A 23716-nucleotide genomic window follows, 5' to 3' on the forward strand; every position below is an offset into this window, starting at 1 on the left:
AGGAATGACAATCTATTCTTAATGACATTACCCTACAAGGCAAAGTATGTGATAAAGTGACCTTACATGGTATAACCTACGTAAATGCAGTTGAGTCTTGTGAGATGTGGCAGGTGAGAGGAATATAAGAAGTTTTACATGATGACACCAAAGGGAGAAGGCAGGATAGGAGATGATCACTTGAAGCAGCATTGGGAGGAATGGTTGCATGTGGACACAAATATGGGGATGGGCTTACTTCAAAGAGAGAGACTGTGGAATATTACAACTTCATGGCCATGCTCTTATACATACACATTTTTCCTAAAAAATATATATATCAATAGAGATGTATAGTTAATCTAAAATGATTCTTAAACTGTAGTATCTAAAATAGACACTGCAATGTAAAATAGATTAAAACTCACACATCAAAGTTGCAAAAGTCATTCAACTGTCCCTCTGCCAGTTATATAAAATCATAATAATGAAAAATTAAATTCATAATATTAGTATATCAAATTGTATTGTTATGAATATTTGTTTGCAGGCATTTTATATTGTCTAGGTGCATTAAAGGCATGGTTACAAATTATTAATACTAATAGCCCTCTAAGAAGAAGAATATTGATCTTCTTTAGTGTAGAAGAAAACAATTTTATTGAGAATTCAAAGACCTGGGTTCATGTTCCATTCTGCTCCATGACTGAAGCATGTCATTTTGTTGCTCTGACCCTGTCACATGTGCTTACAGGGATGCCTTCAGAATCAGGTACACTGTGAGGTACCATATAAATGAAAGATATCAGTACATAAAGGTTTGGGTACTTAAGAAAAGTTAAGTATCTTACACACACAGCTATAATGGATTGATTATAGAGTCAAAATACTTTCAATGCTGTTCTTGTACACTTTTGCTTACCACTGAATCAATTTCTTTCACAGGAGGATATGGATATGGCTGCCAACTTCAGATTAGGAGCACATTTTATGCCGAGATCTATAATATTTAGATAATATATTCACATATATTTCCCTGTTTTGCATTTTATTTTAACCCTGTATAAAGTGGCATTAGTTGAATGCTAGCATAGTATGCTACCATCTGAAACATATGGGGCTAGTCTCTATTAATTCAGGTAAGAAACTGATTAAAGATAGAAAGTGCCCTCCTTTCTTGTGAGAGGGAAAGGCAGGGTCAGCAGATGCAAAGATCTAAGTAATACAGCAGCATCCAGCTGCTCAAGAACTAAAATTAGGTTCCTGGGAAAAACGAATTGCTGAGGAGAAAGAAGAAATTAACAATAAGAAGCAAGGATTATCATTCCCTGCGGCCTCTAAGTAGAAGATAGGGATCAAATCTCCTTAAGTCTTGAGATACCGTCTAAGAAAAGCCAGTTCTTCAACCTTCCTCTTATTCTGCAAACAAGTTCTGCATCTCTCTACAGTGAAGCTTCAATGGAGTTAGAGAGAGCAAAGTTAGAGAGAGCCATAGAGATACCTTCAGGATCCATTCTGACTTCATTGTGCCTTCCTGGGCTGCTGACTACATCCCTCAGGCTTCCCTGAAACCAGAATTCAGGAACAAATGAGGTTTCCCCAATCAAATGTCAGCAAAAGCATCATAGCATGAGGTTTTCTTGGTTTGGTGTTCAGTGTTCAGTGTCCAGTGTCTAGTTTTCTAGGTGTCAAGAGGTAGTCGCACAGGGAAACGATAAATGTTTTAGATGATGGATATGCTAATTACCCTGATCTGAACACGATACATTATATGTATCAAAGCATCACTATGTACCCCATGAATATATACAACCATTATTTGCCCATTAAAAAAACTTAAAGATATCATTTGTTATCTTTCCACTCTTTCTTTCTTTTTTTTTTTGAGACAAAGCCCCACTCTACACCTAGGCTGGAGTACAGTGGTGCAATCTCAGCTCACTGCAACCTCCGTCTCTGGGGTTCGAGCGATTCTTGTGCCTCAGCCTCCCAAGTAGCTGGGATTCCAGGCATGTGACACCACACCCAGCTAATTTTTGTTATTTTTAGTAGAAACGGGGTTTCACCATGCTGCCCAGGCTGTTTTAAACTCCTGACCTCAGGTGATTCACCTGCCTCGGCCTCCCAAAGTGCTGAGATTACAGGCGTGAGCCGCGGCGCCTGGCCTCTTTTCACCTATCTTTAACACCTAGCATGATGCTGAAACGTACTGAAAATACTCATTAAGTAAATTGAATGATATAATCCTAAAAAGAAAAGAAAGTGCCACATTTTCTTAATCCAGTCTATCACTGATGGACATTTGTGTTGGTTCCAAGTCTTTGCTATTGTGAATAGTGCCACAATAAACGTAAGTGTGCATGTGTCCTTATAGCAGCATGATTTATAATCCTTTGGGTATATACCCAGTAATGGGATGGCTGGGTCAAATGGCCGGTCGTGGGGTAGGGGGAGGGGGAGGGATAGCATTAGGAGATATACCTAATGTAAATGACGAGTTAATGGGTGCAGCACACCAACATGGCACAGGTATACATATGTAACAAACCTGCACATTGTGCACATGTACCCTAGAACTTAAAGTATAATAATAAAAAAAAGAAAAGAAAAGAAAGTAAGAGGCAATGGCATCTGTGAGAGCAGCAGCTGTATTCTGTATCCCACTGTCCAGTGAACAGCTTCCTGGGTGCCGAGAGTCAGGGATGGTAATGCCAGCTTTCTGATCGCAGCTTTCTCATCCCTGGCTTGCAGCTACAGCAATGTATTCTGGAACTTCAGAATTTTCTGTTGTAGCCTCCTGATTCCTTCTATTCCCAATTGCAGCATCCAGCAGTTTCCTGGGGCCTCAGTTCTGCAGTCCTCCAGGAGCCATTCCTGAAGGTCAGGCCTGAGGCCTGCCCTTCCAGCCCTTCTAGCAATTTTGTAAGCGCTTAATATCCTGTATTACATTCCTTTCTGCAGAAAATATCTAAAGCAGGTTCTATTTTGTAAACTATACCCTGATGCCAAAGGTTTTGACACAAATGCCTACTTAACTAATTGTCAAGGACTGCCTAGAGCAATGCATTAAGAACATTGAAACTGAGTCCAAATTCAGTGAAAAAGATTTTTTATGCCTGGCATGGGAGAGAGGGTCATTATACGTTTGCCACCTTATAATACATCAGCCTTACCTAACAAATCTCCATGTGTATGTACTAATAAATATAAAATTTAAGATAGATAAAATTTCAAAATTTTATTCCTATGCAAACGGATATAGTGAAAATGAACTAGACAGACCAAAATTAAGCAAAGATCGCATAGAAGGAAATGTTAAATTTATTCACAGGAATGCTAATTGAACCATATGCGAGTTACAATTTATCAAACTCGAAATAGCAAAAGTTACTTCAATACAATCCCACTAGTCTAAACCTAGTCTTTAAAGATAAAATTGTCTGGCCATTTTGTTCTTTGAAGTTGCTGAATTGTGCATTGATGGAAAGGATTTTAAAGGATTAATTTTAAAGAAACTTCAAATCAAAAATCAAACTATTAGAAAAGAATATAACAACAACCCCCCAAAACCCCTGTGTTCCTGTTCCTTTATAACAATTTACCTTGGTAGGGTAGGTTGGTGAGGTTTAGCCCCCATTCCGAATGGTAATCATTCTTTTCCTGAGAGTGTTAATACTTCAGTCATTTAAGCTTCCTAATTTGATACTTTTTGGTTAAGAAGGAAACCTTAAATGAGGAAAGGAAATGCTGAGAGGAAATTACTTGAACAGAATTTAATAGTTTTGTGATGTGAAGCTGTGATCACATTTTTTTCACAGTATGAGTCAGTCATATAAATGTTTGGTTTACTTAGTTTCTTAATTTGATTTGAAACTAAACGAAGCAAAACTTGTCAGCAAAATGTAATTTTTCCTGAGTTACACTACACTGATTTCATTATAATATAACATTCATATTTGTAAATGAAACTGGTTTAAATGGCTTTTGGTCAGCATAAAACTGATTTTTAAAAGTATGTTTTTAAATGAATTTGTGGTCCATGCTATAATTTCAATAAACCTGCCTCCTACATGGGGATTTGAAGATCACGGTTATAGTTACTATTAGTGTCAACACAATGTAAGTAGAGTTCATTATGAAACTCACTGGGGAATTCTAAAGTGATTACATTCTCTTTGTAATCCACAAAAAGGAACTCTTCAAAAGATAACAATTCAGTGAGATGAAATGGGAATCATCTGGTTCACTTGTAAATCATATCCTCATTTTTTCTGCTATGTCATTGCTGTTCTATCCTATTAACACCAGAGAATGAAATTCAAGAAGGTTGGTTTTTATTTTGCATCCTTATAAAAATGGAGAGCGGATTGAGCATCAGCTATTAGGGTAGCTTCCTACCTAGTCTCTGGCAGAGGCCTCCATCAAACCCACAGAAACTCCAAACCACCTTTTTTAATGCAATCAAGTATGTTCCCTAGTGGTTTCATGTTATAAGCAATTACTCAGTACTAATTTTTTTCTTTTAAATTTTACACCAATCTTGTTTTCATTTTTCTATTCCCCACATATTATTCTCAAGTAGTCAGAATGAGCAGTAACCAACTTGACACCTGGAATGCTCCCATGACCAAGCATTGTTTTAAGCTACTACATTTGTGGTAACTTGTTAGAGATGCAATAAAAAACCAATACAGGAGTATTGTAAGAAAGCATAATTACAGGGCCTACTATAGTGCCTGATACAGATTAAGCCCTGAATAAGTCTTAGTTTCCTCCCATAACTTATCTAGGAAACTCCAATTCATTTACTCACCAAAAGCTTAATACTACTACTACTACTAATAATAGCATATTCTAGGCACTGAACGCAATTCTAGAAACTCACGGAGTTTACCTCTTAATCAAAGAAGCAAAATCACTTTACATACTTGAGGTAATTGTTCACACTCTATACAGATCAGGCTCAAGGAGGCGTTTGTTTTTCTCATCTATCACACCACAGGCTCCCACACACTCACACTCACACATGTCAACAAGACCTACCGACAGCTGCTCATTTCCTAATCTTTGACCTGCTTGCTTTGGGTGAGTTGGTTTCTGTGGCATTTTAAATGGAGAGACTTAGTTATGTTTTGCTTTGCATTCAGGGAGCAGATGAAAGCTAAATGCTACTGATAGATTTGGTCTTCGTGTGCCTATCTCTGCCCACACAACCACAAAAATTCCAAAGGTCAAGACAAAAATACCCCTATGACCTCTAATGGCCACAAAGCACAGAAGTTCAAATCACTCTCTTTAAAGGGTTAGACAGGAGCCAGGGAAGCCCGGAAGTGAGGATGGGGGTGGAGTAAAAATGAAATTGCTGCCATTCGCCTTAAAGGTTTCATAGTTGGAAACACTGAATCAAACATCTATTTTGGTAAGTTCAAACTTACAACCTTGAGTGCAGGTGAGCCAGGGCATAAACTCAAGCTGTTTTTCCAAAAGAACTGTAGAACTTGCTAGGCAAGAGTTTATTTAAACAGCCAAGCATCCTGCCTTTGCCTTCTCCTGCTCCACCTTTCCTAGAACGCTTCCTAATTTATCCAACGAACTCAGACCCATCACAGAAGAGAAACAGTTCTCTGACTAGTCCTTGGGACAAAATGCTTCCGGATGCAAGGGACTTAGAAAGTCCTTCATTATCCTGCCAGCGCTGGGTTCTGCAGGGTCTTCCACCCCAGACCAATTCCTCCCGGTAGGACTCAGGTAGTTCTGCTTCTGTAGTCACCATTAAAGTCCCCTTTCCAGAGTTAAGAATCCTACCCAGACATGAACAGCTGGGGGTCAGTAACCACTGAGGAGTGCTCAGCAGAACACATTCTCACCTTGTGATCTTTGTAGTTTGACTCTGCTTCCAGTTGTCTCCTTCTGCTATATTTGGGTCCCTGTGACTAAAAGGAGGACCTACTGGAGAGGAGCAGACTTTTATTAGAGCAGGGATCCTGGTCAGATAGGTTAGGGTCTCAGCGGGGGTTCTGCCAGCCTCATAAACTGATGTTCACTCTGTGATTGCAGCATTCCACTGTCCAGGGAAATCAAGCCTTGCTGTCAGAGAAGGATCTAGCTGCTCCCCTCCGGAGTGATTCTGGAGGTCTTTTGGTTTGCTGGAGCTCTCCTTTCTGCTTCCCTTTCTTCTCTGTGTGTAAATGTCTGTGTGATTTTTTTTAATGTTTTTATTGATGTTGAGACGTTGGTACAAAAACAATACTAACAGTGTACGATTTGGTCTCCTGGTTTCCCACATCTCCCCATCCCCTCTAGCAGCTGGTATAGCTGGAGGACTGTTTATTCCATGGCTTATTTCCCCTTTATCTTTGATGTCCCAGGATGTCAAAGGTTGTAAATTTAATATTGATTTTATAAAGTAGTTTTACTCTAACATGTCAGTTATGATTAACTTCAACCTGGAAGAAGCTCAGCCACCGATCTGGATTCGCACGCAATGTGGCTCCCCAGCTCTCAGACTCTCTGAGTGAATGTTTTATTTATTAGAGTATGTAGCAGGTTTGTAAAGGCCAGAACAGCCCTAAGCCCCCAGAACCTGGGCCCTTACATTAAGCTTGAAAACCTAAGTAGATCAGAGAGACATATCATTTGCTGGCATGTCAACAGACAGAAGAGTTTATAGATCACATTATACCCCAGTGCATATAACCAGAGAGAGAGGAATGAGAAGTCTTAGTTGAATTTCAACCCCTCCCTCCCTTTCTCCAGGCCTCTAGTGCTCTTATGTTCCACCATCAGGATGGGGGTTATTGCTATAATAACAGCGATAAAAGCTGACATTTATGGAAACTTTTCAGCGTGTTGGCCCCTTAAAAAGCGTCAAGCCCAGTGCTAAGAATTTTCTACGTGCCATCTCATTTAATACTTACATCAATCCTATGTAAAGAGTATTTATGATTACCATTATCATTATTTATTATTATTATTACTCCCATTCTACAGATGAAGGAACTAAGAAATCACACTGCTGCAACTTTTGAAGTTAGAATTCAATTCCAGGCATTCTGATCCCCAACACCCTACATTCTAGTCCCTAATGCCGTAATGCATTACATATCAGAAAGCTGGAAAGTGACATTTTTGCACCAATCATGCTGAGATGACATCTTTGGCTAAATTCATATTTTCTGCTCTTTTGATGCAAACTGATCTTCAAGCAAAATAGTAGAATTCATCCCCAAATTCCAATTCATCCCCAATTTCTCTGTTAAGCGAAGGCAAGTGGTGTTTTTTATCCTCGTTACTGAACCTCTCTCCCTCCTCCTACTTTGGAACAATTTCTCCCTGGATGATGAAGCGCAGGATGTTCACCACTTTGTAGCGGGAAGCTCTTCCTGAAGCCATGTGGCTGTGTTCCTGCTCGCCAGCTGCTCACTGCAGGTGCCGCGAAGGGGCCACACGGCCGCTCAGGTTAAAGATATGGATCACAGCCTTCTTATCTTGGGAATCTCAGCTTACAACATTTTAGCATTGCAGAGGCCAATACAACAGGGAGCAGAGGTGTACTTGGGTGCTTTATCACCCAAGTTCAATATACTGCTGGAGCTTATGCATGGCCTAGGTCCTCCACTTCTTCCTCCAGGCTGAGACAGACCAGGCAAAGAGTCTGTCTGGGACTGCTTTACCTGATATTTTCCTTCTTTCTCTTCCTGTATCTTAACAATAGGGGAAAGGATAGATTGAGGTAGAATGAAGATGGTGCCAAATTCTTTGACACACCTCCCATCAAGAGGTCGAATCTCTGTTTCATCCCCTTGAATCTGGGTGGGCTCTGTAACTCCTCTGTCCCACAGAATACCGTGGAAGGAATGCCGACTCCACTTCCACTTCCACTTACATGCCACAAATAAAAAGCCCAACTATCCTGATGGAGAAACCATAGACAAGGCCCTGAGATTACATGGCAAGGGACAAAGGCCCAGCTGAGCCTGCCAAGGCATCACACATGTGAGTAAAGCTGTCCTGAACCCTCCAGGCCAGACCAGACACCAGCCAAATGCCACCAAGTTATGCCAGTTAAAGCACAGGGAGCAGAATTGCCTGAATTCCTGACCCACGGAACTGTGAGATGTAATAAAATGGTAGCTGTTTTGTGGTAGTGGGCAACATAGCACTAGAAGAGAGATAGAGGTGCATAGGTGCCTGGCATAGATCACTTCAGCTTTGAAGGCCCCTGGACTTGCAGTTGGCATTCACAGGTGGAATGCTGCTCTACCTAGCCCAACTTGATGCATTCAAGCATAGAGAAGAGCGTGGTGCCTTCTCCAAATAACTCTTAATTTGTGACTTGAGACCATTTCTGCGAGACAATCACTTGTGTACTGTCCTGGGGAGCAAGTCTTCCCAAGTGATTACACATTGTTAATGAAAGATTCATCCTTTAGCACATTCGCGTCTCATAATTCATGGGCCAGTTGGAACCCAAGCCTAAGCCAAACACACTGAGCCCATGCTTTATTTTTCCCATTAATTTCCTCAGCTACCACATTATTTTCAACAGCCAGAAGGTAACTCTCTTCACTTCAGAAGAAACACATAGAAAGCCCTGCTCCCAAGTGGATAAGGAAACACATTATTTGTTGTAAGGCTTAACAGTTATGGTGAAAGACATAAAGGTAGGCTCTTTAGTTAACAGTTTTCAAAAATAATTTCATTCTTCTATTTAATGACGTGCTTTCATGTACACTCTCGTTTAAATGACTGAGAAAAGGCAGTATATTTTGGAAACATAATGCAAAGTCTTTGAATATTCACAGTTTGTCAACCCATAATATATTTTCATGGAAATGAAATGATTTAAAAACAACCCAAGAAAAAGAAATAACGGAGACTTGAGCCCATTGATTTGACAGAAGATGCTGAGGCTTTGGAGGTTTGGGGTTTGATTGCCAGACTTGCCATGTATCGAAGGTGTGATTTGGCACAAGTGACTTCAGCACATCTCTGAGCCTTACTTTCCTCCTATGAAAAATACCTACCCTATGTGATTGCACACAGGCAAGTCCTCATCTCTGGCTCTGCTGTAGTAGGAAACCAAGCTAAAACACTACCTACAGGGAAATATTAAGTTGGCAGGATTTTATTATTGGAGGAATATATAAAATTGACCATACACTGAAATATGCGACTGTATTAGTCCCTTTTCACACTGTTGATAAAGACATATCTGAGACTGGGTAATTTATAAAGAAAAACAGCTTTAATGGACTCACGGTTCCACGTGGCTGGGGAGGCCTCACAATCATGGTGGCAGGTAAAAGGCACATCTTACATGGTGGCAGGCAAGAGAGAATGAGAGCCAAGTGAAAGGGGAGGCCCCTTATAAAACCATGAGACCTCCTGAGTCTTATTCACTACCACGAGAACAGTATGGGGAAAACTACCCCCATGATTCAGTTGTCTCCCACTGGGTCCCTCCCACAGGACATAGGAATTATGGGAGCTACAACTCAAGATGAGATTTGGCTGGGGACACAGCCAAACCATATCAGCAACCATTAAGAAGAGTGAGAGGGCTGGGCGCGGTGGCTCACACCTGTAATCCCAGCACTTTGGGAGGTCGAGGCAGCCGAATCACGAGGTCAGGAGTTTGAGACAAGCCTAGCCAACATGGTGAAACCCCATCTCTACTAAAAAATACCAAAAAGTAGCTGGGCGTAGTGGCGGCCACCTGTAATCCCAGCTACTCGGGAGGCTGAAGCAGGAGAATCGCTTGAAGCTGGGAGGCAGAGGTTGCAGTGAGCTGAGATCGTGCCACCGCACTCCAGCCCAGGTGACAGCGTAAGACTCTGTCTAAAAAAGAAAAAAATGAAGAGTAAGAGAAATCAATCCAGTTGATTTGGGAAATTTCCATGACATACTGTTGAGTAAGAAAAGCAAGATGCAGGAAAAAAAAAAAAAAAAAAACTCAACCTTCTATCTGTATCTAAGCATAGCTATTTTTAATTTCATATATGTGAACTATAAAAGGGTACATTACTCATTTGCTAAATGAGGTAGGGGGTGTGGAAATGAAGGGAAGGAGGTTAGGAAAACAAAGCCAAAGAGGGCCTTAAAAGTGCCACATGTATGGCATGATGATATGACTCCATTCATGTAAAATCACACATACATGAATCCAGGCCTATGATGAATGAACAATAGTTGTCAACATGCTAATGGTAATTATATCTGGAATGTGGTGCTTCAGGTAGGCATTTACTTTCTTCACTCTTTTCTTGTTTTAAATTTATAATAAGTATAGATTAATTATAAAATCCAAAAAATATTAAAGCAACAAATATATAGACAAAAACTGAAGAAACAGTTTAGCATAGTGGTTAAGACCATGGACCCTGAGGCCAGATGGCCACATTTAAATTCTGGCTCTGTCACTTATGACTGTGTGGCATTGGGTGAGTTATTTCATTTCTTTGGGCTTCTGTTTCCCCATGTGTATGGAGATAATAATAATGTAGTACCAACTTCACTGGGCTATTAAGAAAATTAAGTGGCTGGGTGTGGTGGCTCATGCCTGTAGTCCCAGCACTTTGGGAGGCTGAGGCAGGCAAATCACTAGGTCAGGAGTTCGAGACCAACCTGAGCAACATGGTGAAACCCCATCTCTACTAAAAATACAAAAATTAGCCAGGCGTGGTGGTGCACCCCTGTAATCCCAGCTACTCAGGAGGCTGAGACAGGAGAATGACTTGAACCCGGGAGGCAGAGATTGCAGTAAGCAGAGATCGTGCCATTGCACTCCAGCCTGGAAAAAACAGAAGGAAAGAAAATTAAGTGAAAAATATAGGTAAAGTTTTTAGAATGGTGCCTGGCCCATAGTAAATGCTACACAAAGGCTAGCTGTTATAATTTCTTTTTAATTGATTGTTAAAAGGGGAAAACTGAAGGGCTTAAATGCTACAACCTTTAGTTTGTCAGGGAGAGAAGATATGCCTCACTGTAGTCATGGCCTGTATGAGCATCTGTACATAGCTATTCTACTCTGGCAGGTAAGGCAGCTTCTATTTCCAGAAAGAAAGAAGAGGAAGAAAAAAAGAAGAGAGAAGGAAGAAAGGGGGGTAGACAGAGTTGGAGGAAGAGGGGGAAGAAGGCAAACAGAAAGGGTGCAGGGGGAAGAGAGGAGGAGGAAGAGTTGGAGGAAGTAGAAAAAGAAAAGAATAAAACGCTTCAAAGATTCCACTTGGATGCTGGTGAGATAGGGTAGGTCTGACAAACTCCCCCATCCCCCAAGGTGTCCTACCTGGCCTGAAGAATTCACTTCCCAGCTTTCTGGTCACCCCAGTTCTTCATGAGGCATGCAAGTTCATGTTAGTGATTTTATTTTTCTTAATTGAAATGTAACTGATCATATAGTACATTTTGCTGACATTCATGTCACATTTCCTGGATACCAGATTAAAAAATACTTCTAATTAGTTATAAATGTGAATGTATACACAACAATTCTGAAACGGTTTCTTCATCAAAGTTTGCTTCCAAGTATGATACATGTGACTTTAGTGCCAATTCTTATTAACTGTGCACTGCAGTGTGCCGACACCCATGACACATTTCCCCAAATCCAATCACAAAAATATTTCTAATTAGCCATAAATGAGAATGTACACAAAACATTTCCAATAGCCACTCTGTTCCTATCAAAGTTCACATCAGAGAAAACTTAAACTGTTGCCGCTGAGAGCCTTGCTCCGATTTCAACAACTCCTGTTTCAGAAATGCTTAGAAAATTGACTCTTTAGATCTTGCTAGGTAACAGATCTGAGGCAGATTCATTTCAACCCAAGTCCTTTATTTGATATACATGTGCTCCTGAACCCACCTAAAATGCATACCATAGCCCTTCAAAGGCAGTGATAAAATTACTTGGTTAAATATTTTGGCTGGATTTCCTGTTTTCAGAGGCCTGGGCTTTGCAATCTGCAACTTCTGCATCTGCACGTGGCCACTGGGGCAGTATTAAATGGCACTACAACTGCCAACCTCCAAAAGAACCAGGCCTCACAGGGAAGGCTCCAGGCACCCATCCACCACTATGAGCCACACTGAACGATGACTCTAGGCCTCAGTAACTGCCTTCAAATCCTTGGACCTTTAGCTTTCTATAGCAACGCCTGGCTTTAAGCCTCTTAAGATGATCACAAATCATAAAGCACCCTCCTCAGTTCAAAGTGTCAAGTTTATAAAATCACATTAGTTATAATTCAGATATTCTCCATCCTCAAGGCTGTGAAGCATTCTGATCTGCTCTTAGATTTCTGTATAATCTTTCCTTCGTTTTATAACAGGCTTTGTCTTCTGTTGCTCTGTGCAAATAGCACCCCTTGACAAGTCATAAGGCCGTGATATGTGCACGGTACATCGCAGTGAAAGAGCAGCTTTATGCGAGGGGAGGAGAAACGGTTCTGTGCAACTTTGCTTACTTTCACTACCTTTAAAAACTCATTAAATAGGATTCTGCCTTTTACTTGCTGAAGTGTTTAAAATCCATTTTAATGAAAAATTCTAATCCTATATAATCACACCATAAGTACTTTCTTTCTGTTCAAAGAGGAAACAGTGTTAAATTTTAATGCATACCTCTGGCAGGCTATAATAAAAGTGTTCAGTCAGTTTTAAATCCGATTAGTGTAACTGTTACAGATTAGAAAAAAAATCCCAAGTGATTGGAGCAAGTCCCTAACTCAAGAAAACTAACTTAGGGGGCTTTCATGTCAGACTCAAAGAGAACATCAAGACCCCAGAATTTGTTCAGAAGCTAATAAAAACAAGGACTTGTGCCAGGGATTGCAGGGATGTAAAGGCAAGCTTGCAAATAGGAAGCAGATAGGACAGAATGCAACCCGGAACAAAGTGGACTTACAGCCGGAGAGAGAAAAGTGGGAAATCCTGCAGGAATTCTGAAAGGACAAAATGACATCCCAGGGAGAGAAGCACTGAGAATTTTTAGAGAATGTAGCTTCTAAAAGAAGCCTTGAGGGGGAGGAGCCAAGATGGCCGAATAGGAACAGCTCCGGTCTACAGCTCCCAGCGTGACCGACGCAGAAGACGGTGATTTCTGCATTTCCATCTGAGGTACCGGGTTCATCTCACTAGGGAGCGCCAGACAGTGGGCGCAGGCCAGTGGGTGCGCGCACGGTGAGCGAGCCAAAGCAGGGCGAGGCATTGCCTCACCTGGGAAGCGCAAGGGGTCAGGGAGTTCCCTTTCCGAGTCAAAGAAAGGGGTGACGGACGCACCTGGAAAATCGGGTCACTCCCACCCGAACATTGCGCTTTTCAGACCGGCTTAAAAAACGGCGCACCACGAGACTATATCCCACACCTGGCTCAGAGGGTCCTACGCCCACGGAATCTCGCTGATTGCTAGCACAGCAGTCTGTGATCAAACTGCAAGGCGGCAGCGAGGCTGGGGGAGGGGCGCCCGCCATTGCCCAGGCTTGCTTAGGTAAACAAAGCAGCCAGGAAGCTCGAACTGGGTGGAGCCCACCACAGCTCAAGGAGGCCTGCCTGCCTCTGTAGGCTCCACCTCTGGGGGCAGGGCACAGACAAACAAAAAGACAGCAGTAACCTCTGCAGACTTAAATGTCCCTGTCTGATAGCTTTGAAGGGAGCAGTGGTTCTCCCAGCACGCAGCTGGAGATCTGAGAACCGGCAGACTGCCTCCTCAAGTGGGTCCCTGACCCCTGACCCCTGAGCAGCCTAACTGGGAGGCACCCCCCAGCAGGGGCACACTGACACCTCACACGGCAGGGTATTCCAACAGACCTGCAGCTGAGGGTCCTGTCTGTTAGAAGGAAAGCTAACAAACAGAAAGGACATCCACACCAAAAACCCATCTGTACATCACCATCATCAAAGACCAAAAGTAGATAAAACCACAAAGATGGGGAAAAAACAGAACAGAAAAACTGGAAGCTCTAAAAATCAGAGCACCTCTCCTCCTCCAAAGGAACGCAGCTCCTCACCAGCAACAGAACAAAGCTGGATGGAGAATGACTTTGACGAGCTGAGAGAAGAAGGCTTCAGACGATCAAATTACTCTGAGCTATGGGAGGACATTCAAGCCAAAGGCAAAGAAGTTGAAAACTTTGAAAAAAATTTAGAAGAATGTATAACTAGAATAACCAATACAGAGAAGTGCTTAAAGGAGCTGATGGAGCTGAAAACCAAGGCTCGAGAACTACGTGAAGAATGCAGAAGCCTCAGGAGCCGATGCGATCAACTGGAAGAAAGGGTGTCAGCAATGGAAGATGAAATGAATGAAATGAAGCGAGAAGGGAAGTTTAGAGAAAAAAGAATAAAAAGAAATGAGCAAAGCCTCCAAGAAATATGGGACTATGTGAAAAGACCAAATCTACGTCTGATTGGTGTACCTGAAAGTGATGGGGAGAATGGAACCAAGTGGGAAAACACTCTGCAGGATATTATCCAGGAGAACTTCCCCAATCTAGCAAGGCAGGCCAACGTTCAGATTCAGGAAATACAGAGAACGCCACAAAGATACTCCTCGAGAAGAGCAACTCCAAGACACATAATTGTCAGATTCACCAAAGTTGAAATGAAGGAAAAAATGTTAAGGGCAGCCAGAGAGAAAGGTCGGGTTACCCTCAAAGGGAAGCCCATCAGACTAACAGCGGATCTCTCGGCAGAAACCCTACAAGCCAGAAGAGAGTGGGGGCCAATATTCAACATTCTTAAAGAAAAGAATTTTCAACCCAGAATTTCATATCCAGCCAAGCTAAGCTTCATAAGTGAAGGAGAAATAAAGTACTTTACAGACAAGCAAATGCTGAGAGATTTTGTCACCACCAGACCTGCCCTAAAAGAGCTCCTGAAGGAAGCGCTAAACATGGAAAGGAACAACCAGTACCAGCCGCTGCAAAATCATGCCAAAATGTAAAGACCATCGAGACTAGGAAGAAACTGCATCAACTAACGAGCAAAATCACCAGCTAACATCATAATGACAGGATCAAATTCACACATAACAATATTAACTTTAAATGTAAATGGACTAAATGCTCCAATTAAAAGACACAGACTGGCAAATTGGATAAAGAGTCAAGACCCATCAGTGTGCTGTATTCAGGAAACCCATCTCACGTGCAGAGACACACATAGGCTCAAAATAAAAGGATGGAGGAAGATCTACCAAGCAAATGGAAAACAAAAAAAGGCAGGGGTTGCAATCCTAGTCTCTGATAAAACAGACTTTAAACCAACAAAGATCAAAAGAGACAAAGAAGGCCATTACATAATGGTAAAGGGATCAATTCAACAAGAAGAGCTAACTATCCTAAATATATATGCACCCAATACAGGAGCACCCAGATTCATAAAGCAAGTCCTGAGTGACCTACAAAGAGACTTAGACTCCCACACAATAATAATGGGAGACTTTAACACCCCACTGTCAACATTAGACAGATCAACGAGACAGAAAGTCAACAAGGATACCCAGGAATTGAACTCAGCTCTGCACCAAGCAGACCTAATAGACATCTACAGAACTCTCCACCCCAAATCAACAGAATATACATTTTTTTCAGCACCACACCACACCTATTCCAAAATTGACCACATACTGGGAAGTAAAGCTCTCCTCAGCAAATGTAAAAGAACAGAAATTATAACAAACTATCTCTCAGACCACAGTGCAATCAAACTAGAACTCAGGATTAAGAATCTCACTCAAAGCCGCTCAACTACATGGAAACTGAACAACCTGCTCCTGAATGACTACTGGGTACATAATGAAATGAAGGCAGAAATAAAGATGTTCTTTGAAACCAACAAGAACAAAGACACAACATACCAGAATCTCTGGGACGCATTCAAAGCAGTGTGTAGAGGGAAATTTATAGCACTAAATGCCCACAAGAGAAAGCAGGAAAGATCCAAAATTGACACCCTAACATCACAATTAAAAGAACTAGAAAAGCAAGAGCAAACACATTCAAAAGCTAGCAGAAGGCAAGAAATAACTAAAATTAGAGCAGAACTGAAGGAAATAGAGACACAAAAAACCCTTCAAAAAATCAATGAATCCAGGAGCTGGTTTTTTGAAAGGATCAACAAAATTGATAGACCACTAGCAAGACTAATAAAGAAAAAAAGAGAGAAGAATCAAATAGACACAATAAAAAATGATAAAGGGGATATCACCACCGATCCCACAGAAATACAAACTACCATCAGAGAATACTACAAACACCTCTACGCAAATAAACTAGAAAATCTAGAAGAAATGGATAAATTCCTCGACACATATACTCTCCCAAGACTAAACCAGGAAGAAGTTGAATCTCCTAATAGACCAATAACAGGAGCTGAAATTGTGGCAATAAGCAATAGCTTACCAACCAAAAAGAGTCCAGGACCAGATGGATTCACAGCCGAATTCTACCAGAGGTACAAGGAGGAACTGGTACCATTCCTTCTGAAACTATTCCAATCAATAGAAAAAGAGGGAATCCTCCCTAACTCATTTTATGAGGCCAGCATCATTCTGATACCAAAGCCGGGCAGAGACACAACAAAAAAAGAGAATTTTAGACCAATATCCTTGATGAACATTGATGCAAAAATCCTCAATAAAATACTGGCAAACCGAATCCAGCAGCACATCAAAAAGCTTATCCACCATGATCAAGTGGGCTTCATCCCTGGGATGCAAGGCTGGTTCAATATACGCAAATCAATAAATGTAATCCAGCATATAAACAGAACCAAAGACAAAAACCACATGATTATCTCAATAGATGCAGAAAAAGCCTTTGACAAAATTCAACAACCCTTCATGCTAAAAACTCTCAATAAATTAGGTATTGATGGGACGTATTTCAAAATAATAAGAGCTATATATGACAAACCCACAGCCAATATCATACTGAATGGGCAAAAACTGGAAGCATTCCCTTTGAAAACTGGCACAAGACAGGGATGCCCTCTCTCACCACTCCTATTCAACATAGTGTTGGAAGTTCTGGCCAGGGCAATCAGGCAGGAGAAGGAAATAAAGGGTATTCAATTAGGAAAAGAGGAAGTCAAATTGTCCCTGTTTGCAGATGACATGATTGTATATCTAGAAAACCCCATTGTTTCAGCCCAAAATCTCCTTAAGCTGACAAGCAACTTCAGCAAAGTCTCAGGATACAAAATCAATGTACAAAAATCACAAGCATTCTTATACACCAACAACAGACAAACAGAGAGCCAAATCATGAGTGAACTCCCATTCACAATTGCTTCAAAGAGAATAAAATACCTAGGAATCCAACTTACAAGGGATGTGAAGGACCTCTTCAAGGAGAACTACAAACCACTGCTCAAGGAAATAAAAGAGGATACAAACAAATGGAAGAACATTCCATGCTCATGGGTCGGAAGAATCAATATTGTGAAAATGGCCATACTGCCCAAGGTAATTTACAGATTCAATGCCATCCCCATCAAGCTACCAATGACTTTCTTCACAGAATTGGAAAAAACTACTTTAAAGTTCATATAGAACCAAAAAAGAGCCCGCATCGCCAAGTCAATCCTAAGCCAAAAGAACAAAGCTGGAGGCATCACACTACCTGACTTCAAACTTTACTACAAGGCTACAGTAACCAAAACAGCATGGTACTGGTACCAAAACAGAGATATAGATCAATGGAACAGAACAGAGCCCTCAGAAATAACGCCGCATACCTACAACTGTCTGATCTTTGACAAACCTGAGAAAAACAAGAAATGGGGAAAGGATTCCCTATTTAATAAATGGTGCTGGGAAAACTGGCTAGCCGTATGTAGAAAGCTGAAACTGGATCCCTTCCTTACACCTTATACAAAAATCAATTCAAGATGGATTAAAGATTTAAACGTTAGACCTAAAACCATAAAAACCCTAGAAGAAAACCTAGGCATTACCATTCAGGACATAGGCATGGGCAAGGACTTCATGTCCAAAACACCAAAAGCAATGGCAACAAAAGACAAAATTGACAAATGGGATCTAATTAAACTCAAGAGCTTCTGCACAGCAAAAGAAACTACCATCAGAGTGAACAGGCAACCCACAAAATGGGAGAAAATTTTCGCAACCTACTCATCTGACAAAGGGCTAATATCCAGAATCTACAATGAACTCAAACAAATTTACAAGAAAAAAACAAACAACCCCATCAAAAAGTGGGCGAAGGACATGAACAGACACTTTTCAAAAGAAGACATTTATGCAGCCAAAAAACACATGAAAAAATGCTCATCATCACTGGCCATCAGAGAAATGCAAATCAAAACCACAATGAGATACCATCTCACACCAGTTAGAATGGCAATCATTAAAAAGTCAGGAAACAACAGGTGCTGGAGAGGATGTGGAGAAATAGGAACACTTTTACATTGTTGGTGGGACTGTAAACTAGTTCAACCATTGTGGAAGTCAGTGTGGCGATTCCTCAGGGATCTAGAACTAGAAATACCATTTGACCCAGCCATCCCATTACTGGGTATATACCCAAATGACTATAAATCATGCTGCTATAAAGACACATGCACACGTATGTTTATTGCGGCATTATTCTCAATAGCAAAGACTTGGAACCAACCCAAATGTCCAACAATGATAAACTGGATTAAGAAAATGTGGCACATATACACCATGGAATACTATGCAGCCATAAAAAATGATGAGTTCATGTCCTTTGTAGGGACATGGATGAAATTGGAAATCATCATTCTCAGTAAACTATCGCAAGAACAAAAAACCAAACACCGCATATTCTCACTCATAGGTGGGAATTGAACAATGAGATCACCTGGACACAGGAAGGGGAATATCACACTCTGGGGACTGTGGTGGGGTGGGGGGAGGGGGGAGGGATAGCATTGGGAGATATACCTAATGCTAGATGACGAGTTAGTGGGTGCAGCGCACCAGCGTGGCACATGTATACATATGTAACTAACCTGCACAACGTGCACATGTACCCTAAAACTTAAAGTATAATAAAAAAAAAAAAAAAGAAGCCATGAAGGACAGAGAGAACTCCATAGATGAGGGAATAAAGGCATTTCTGCTGAGGTGGGAAAGGTAGTTTCCATAGAATCAGGGAAAGTTCCTTTTTTTTTTTAGAACTTCTCATGGCCCCATGAGAAGGGGAGGGGAATTCCTCTTTGTTGAGTGCTGCAATTGTACAGGCACTAGACACATACATGTGTTTTCTCATTTAATCCCCACAGCATCCCAGCACAGTGGGCATTTTATCCCCATTTTATAGATGGGAAAACTGAAGCTCAGAGAGACTGTAAGACTTGCCTGAGGTCAAACAGCTAGCCACTGGTGACACTCAGAAAAAAAACACAGTTGAGCCCCTCTCAGTGTTTAGTCTCAGGAACTCCTTGAATCACACCTTCCTCTTAGCCATCATTAAGGCCTAACCTGTTCTGAAAGAGTTTCCTGACCTCCTGAGTCAGAAATGACATTTCTGGTCCCGAATTCACAGCATTCTGATTTTCTATTACCCACATGACACCAATTGTGCCCTGCCTTAGGTTGTTATTTCTCATGGAAACGTGCACCTCAGTGCTTCCGAATTGGTAGGGTCAGCCGCGGATGGCAGGAATGATTTTAAAACCTGAGAAAATGCACATACATGCACTTAAATATTTATATTTATAAAACTGCCCTGTCACTCACTTCACCTCACTTTCTCCCACAGTCTAATACATATAGAGGGGGTGATAGCTGTCTAAACCCTGAAGGCACCAGCAATGAGCACTTAAACACAGTCCAAAACCACCCCTACTCAGGTGAGAACAAGTAAGCTAGCTAGACTCAAAATCAGGTGACTTGATGTTGGGTCCTAATTATGACATTTACTAGCTGTGCCATCCTAAACAACTTATCCTCTCTGAGATCCAATTTTATCATCTATAAATTAAAAAACATTGTATCTGCTTTACCTGCACTTTAGGATTATTGTGCAGATAAGATGGACAAACCTGTAAAGTCATGCATAGCATTATGGTATTAACGTGTGTGGATTAGAAACACATTGAAAATAGAACCTTGTATCTTGCTTTTTTCTACATATCCTCAGTGATTGCCCATAGTAGATATTTAATAATAGGTGTTGAATCGCAGATGGAACTCTTATAACGTTGGGGAAGTAACAGCATATCCAACCATGATGTCAGGAAAGGTACTAAGACGTCCTCCACCTGGGATAACATTTGCCACCCTTGCCTCCCCAACCTAGATATGTTCTGAAGGCAATGTCTGTTTGAAAGGCATGGCTGTGTGGGGCTTTGTGCCTTGAAATGAAAAGCTTTGGGCTCTATTTTATGATCATTTACCAACTTTATTCCATCATGTTCTCCATTTTTTACCTCCAAACCAAGATGCTCACCTATACCTCTTCAAAGTTAAGATGCAACTTCTGCCTTAGATCAATCAGTGGCTGTTCAAGAGCAGAGGACACTTTTAACTTTTCAAAAAGAAAATTCTAATGGGTGACTTAAAAACTTAATTTCCTCATTAAAAAAGGACCACGAAGGGGAAGTGAAAGCCAAATACAAACCCCCACAATAAGAGAAAAAACTGTAAAAAATAAAAGTAAAAACAGGGATTCATGAATGCAGGAAGAAATTAAAACAAACCTGCAGGCCCTCATAAATACAGCAATCAGGCAGCTCCACGCATGCATCCCACATTTGAATTTTTATTTTATGTGGAGTATTTTTGTATCTGCTTTGCCTAAATTTGGCCTGTTACCAAAGCCTAATGACTCTACTTTATGTTAAGCTTTTCGAATGAACTAAACTTAAAACTAGGAAAAAAAAAACTGTTAATTTATCTTGCAGGAAAAGGTGTTATAATTTGAATGAAAAACAGCAAGCAGACAGATAAAAAGGAGCTGGTACAACACTTGGGCAATCAGTTATGGTGTTTTGTACCTGTAGGCTGAGAAATTGTCTCCAGTGTTGGATGATGTTATTACCATTGCCTATTTTCACTTGTACATTAGGTTCAAGCATAATCATGCAAAAATTTGAATGTTCTCCACAGATTTACTATTTTAATAAGCTCATAATGTTAAAACACTATATATGTTGACAGTGGTACTTACATTGTATTAAGAAAACAAATCAAATCATTTTCTTTAAAATGATAAGTAGCCTAGTTTGACCTTTCTATAGGCACTGGTCAGTAGAAATGAACCTCTACAATAGTCTTCTCTCCTACCTTCCAGTCTTTTATCCCATCTATCAATAAGGACACTATTCTCACAGACCATGTGGACTTATCATTTTGGAAACTGCCCTTGTCCTATTGAAGGCCATGGGGCAGAGTGAGACAACAATAAGCTATATTCATGAATATTCATGGCACCAAAAATATTTTCAGATATAAGAAAGCAGATGTGGTGTCTAGTTCATAAATCTGGATTATGAAGTAAAATCTATGGCTAAGTGGGTGATATTCAAACAGCAGTAGTCATAGCATCCATGCATGAGCAAGGGGGAGAATCATTGGCATAGGTAAATTCAAGTTCAGAGGAAACTGGAGGCTGACATTGAATTCAACATGGAAACAGAGAGACAGTAGTGTATCCAATCTCAGTAGGTCCTTTTGGGTCTCTATTTTGAGAAATAATTTAATAGCATTTTTAAAGATATGGGTTCATTGTAAAAAAAATTGGAAAATATAAACAAGCATGAAGAAATCTATGGTTCTATTTCTCAGAAATAATCCTTGCTACTGATTTCAGATCTTATTATTCTAGGCTTCTTCCATGCATATTTTAATAGGTTCATCTGACACATACTGATTTTTAAATTGCCTTTTCCACTTAATGTCTTGTTAATGTCTTTTCATGTGATTAAATATTCTCCAACTGCAGTAATACTTTAATAGCTATATAATATTCCATTAAGGAACACTATGCTGCCTATGGTTGGATATTTATGTGCCTCCACAACCTAAGATGGTAATGAACTTACAGCGAGTTCTTTTTGAATACCAAAGTCTGACCATCCCCCACGCCTCACGAGACATTTTGCAGCTTTCCTAAAGCCTCTGACTCTTGCGAATTTAGTGACTCAGACTGTCCCATCGACTTCTATTTAATTTTAAGGATGTATTACACACACACCGCTCAAAAAAAAGCTCCTCAAAATAATTGCATCTACATCAATTAACATTTTTATTCTATAATTCCATAAGGGCATTTCATATATACCTCTATTTTCTTCTGCAACAACACCCTTAGAATAAATACAACACGAGAAAGTATACACACTTAAGACGCACTGCACAATTACTTCCACCTAATCCAAAGACAATTTTCATTTATCTATTGATTCACTCAAGAAATATTTATTGAGCACCTATTGTATGACTTGCAATGTGCCACATGCTGAGACAGAAATATTTCAGAATCTACATTGGGTATGTCTTGACTTCAAAGCCAAAGCCACAAGGAAAGGTTTATGTTTTTCCTATATTTTCCTCAGATATTAAGTACAGAACCAGTACTTAATTTATGTTATATAAAGATGTCACTCTACTTTTGAATGGTATGTGAACCTTTTTCAGCTTGTTGCCTGATTGATTGATAACAAGAAAATCTAACGAGTCTCTCTGGACACAAATAATTGTACCAGTCAGGGCCAAATACCCAAGGTTTTCAGCAGTTCTGTCCTTCTGTGACCCTTAGATACCAGTTATGCAAGACGCTCATCTTGATAATTGAGATGAGCAAATGAACAGTTATGTTAATAACCTTCCCATCCCTTCCCTCATGACATTTTAGGCCCTGTCCATCAAAATTCATCCAATACTTCCCTTGTGTCTCCTCATGCTAACCTATGTCCTTTTATCCCATCATTTCACTTATACTACATCTGCCCTTATTTCTCAGTTCTTCACTGGTTCAGCTCTAAACCGAAGGCTCCCCCCATTCCATCTCCCAGCCTCCAAACACCCTCCAAAACTCCTATCAGACTAAACAATGGCCTTCTCCTCCTAAGTACTTCAAAGAACACTGAAAGCTGGCCTCAAAAATCTTCCCCGACTGGTTGGAAGGAAAAGCAGCTTTCCAAAGAGTTCCATCTCAACAGCATGCCATTCCCCATGGAAAGTGTATTTGGATATAGATAGTGTTGTTACATATGTATGAGAATATGTCTTACTTATTCACCTGCCTTTTTTCAGCCTGATTGTGAGCCCCTGAAGACTGAGAACATGTTTTCTCTGTATTCTATAATGATCCCACCCCCACAGAGTCATACTGCTAAATGTTGGTGCCACCTTTCTTCAAGGCAGCGATCAGTAATTACAATATTTTTTAACTGGTCAAGTCTAACTGGGAATAGATTTTTAGAGCTGAGAGGTGACATTGCAGGTTACCTAGTCCATCGCCCTCTCTTTTTTTTAAGCTACAATTCTTATCTACCATGTGTCACACACCATGCTAAGCTCTTTAAGTGAATTATCTCATGTGATCCTCACAAAAGCTCCGAGGGTAGGAACTCTAATCATCCATATTTTTGTGTGCATACCAAAACTCTCCTCATGCTTTTTCACAATTAAGTATACACAAATGAATGAATATTAACAGCTCAGCCAGGATCAGGACTTGAGTAAGACAGAAGAAGCACCTGGGGAAGAGAATGTAAGGAGACACTCACTCTCAGGGTTGTG

The 23716-nt window shown here is 40.6% G+C and overlaps 2 annotated features.

Annotated features, from left to right (window-relative positions):
• Positions 4924-4973: a silencer, noted in NCBI's record as "silent region_5647". NCBI's record gives its function as "represses an Ori minimal core promoter by ATAC-STARR-seq in GM12878 lymphoblastoid cells {active_cell/tissue: GM12878}" and the evidence as "EXISTENCE:reporter gene assay evidence [ECO:0000049][PMID:35858748]".
• Positions 13455-14218: an enhancer, noted in NCBI's record as "NANOG-H3K27ac-H3K4me1 hESC enhancer chr14:30833197-30833960 (GRCh37/hg19 assembly coordinates)". NCBI's record gives its function as "activates a minimal SCP1, AML or CMV promoter by ChIP-STARR-seq in naive and primed H9 embryonic stem cells {active_cell/tissue: H9 hESC(naive and primed)}" and the evidence as "EXISTENCE:reporter gene assay evidence [ECO:0000049][PMID:30033119]".

The sequence above is a fragment of the Homo sapiens genome, chromosome 14, assembly GCF_000001405.40.
Source record: "Homo sapiens chromosome 14, GRCh38.p14 Primary Assembly".
In the NCBI taxonomy this organism is placed as follows: domain Eukaryota; kingdom Metazoa; phylum Chordata; class Mammalia; order Primates; family Hominidae; genus Homo; species Homo sapiens.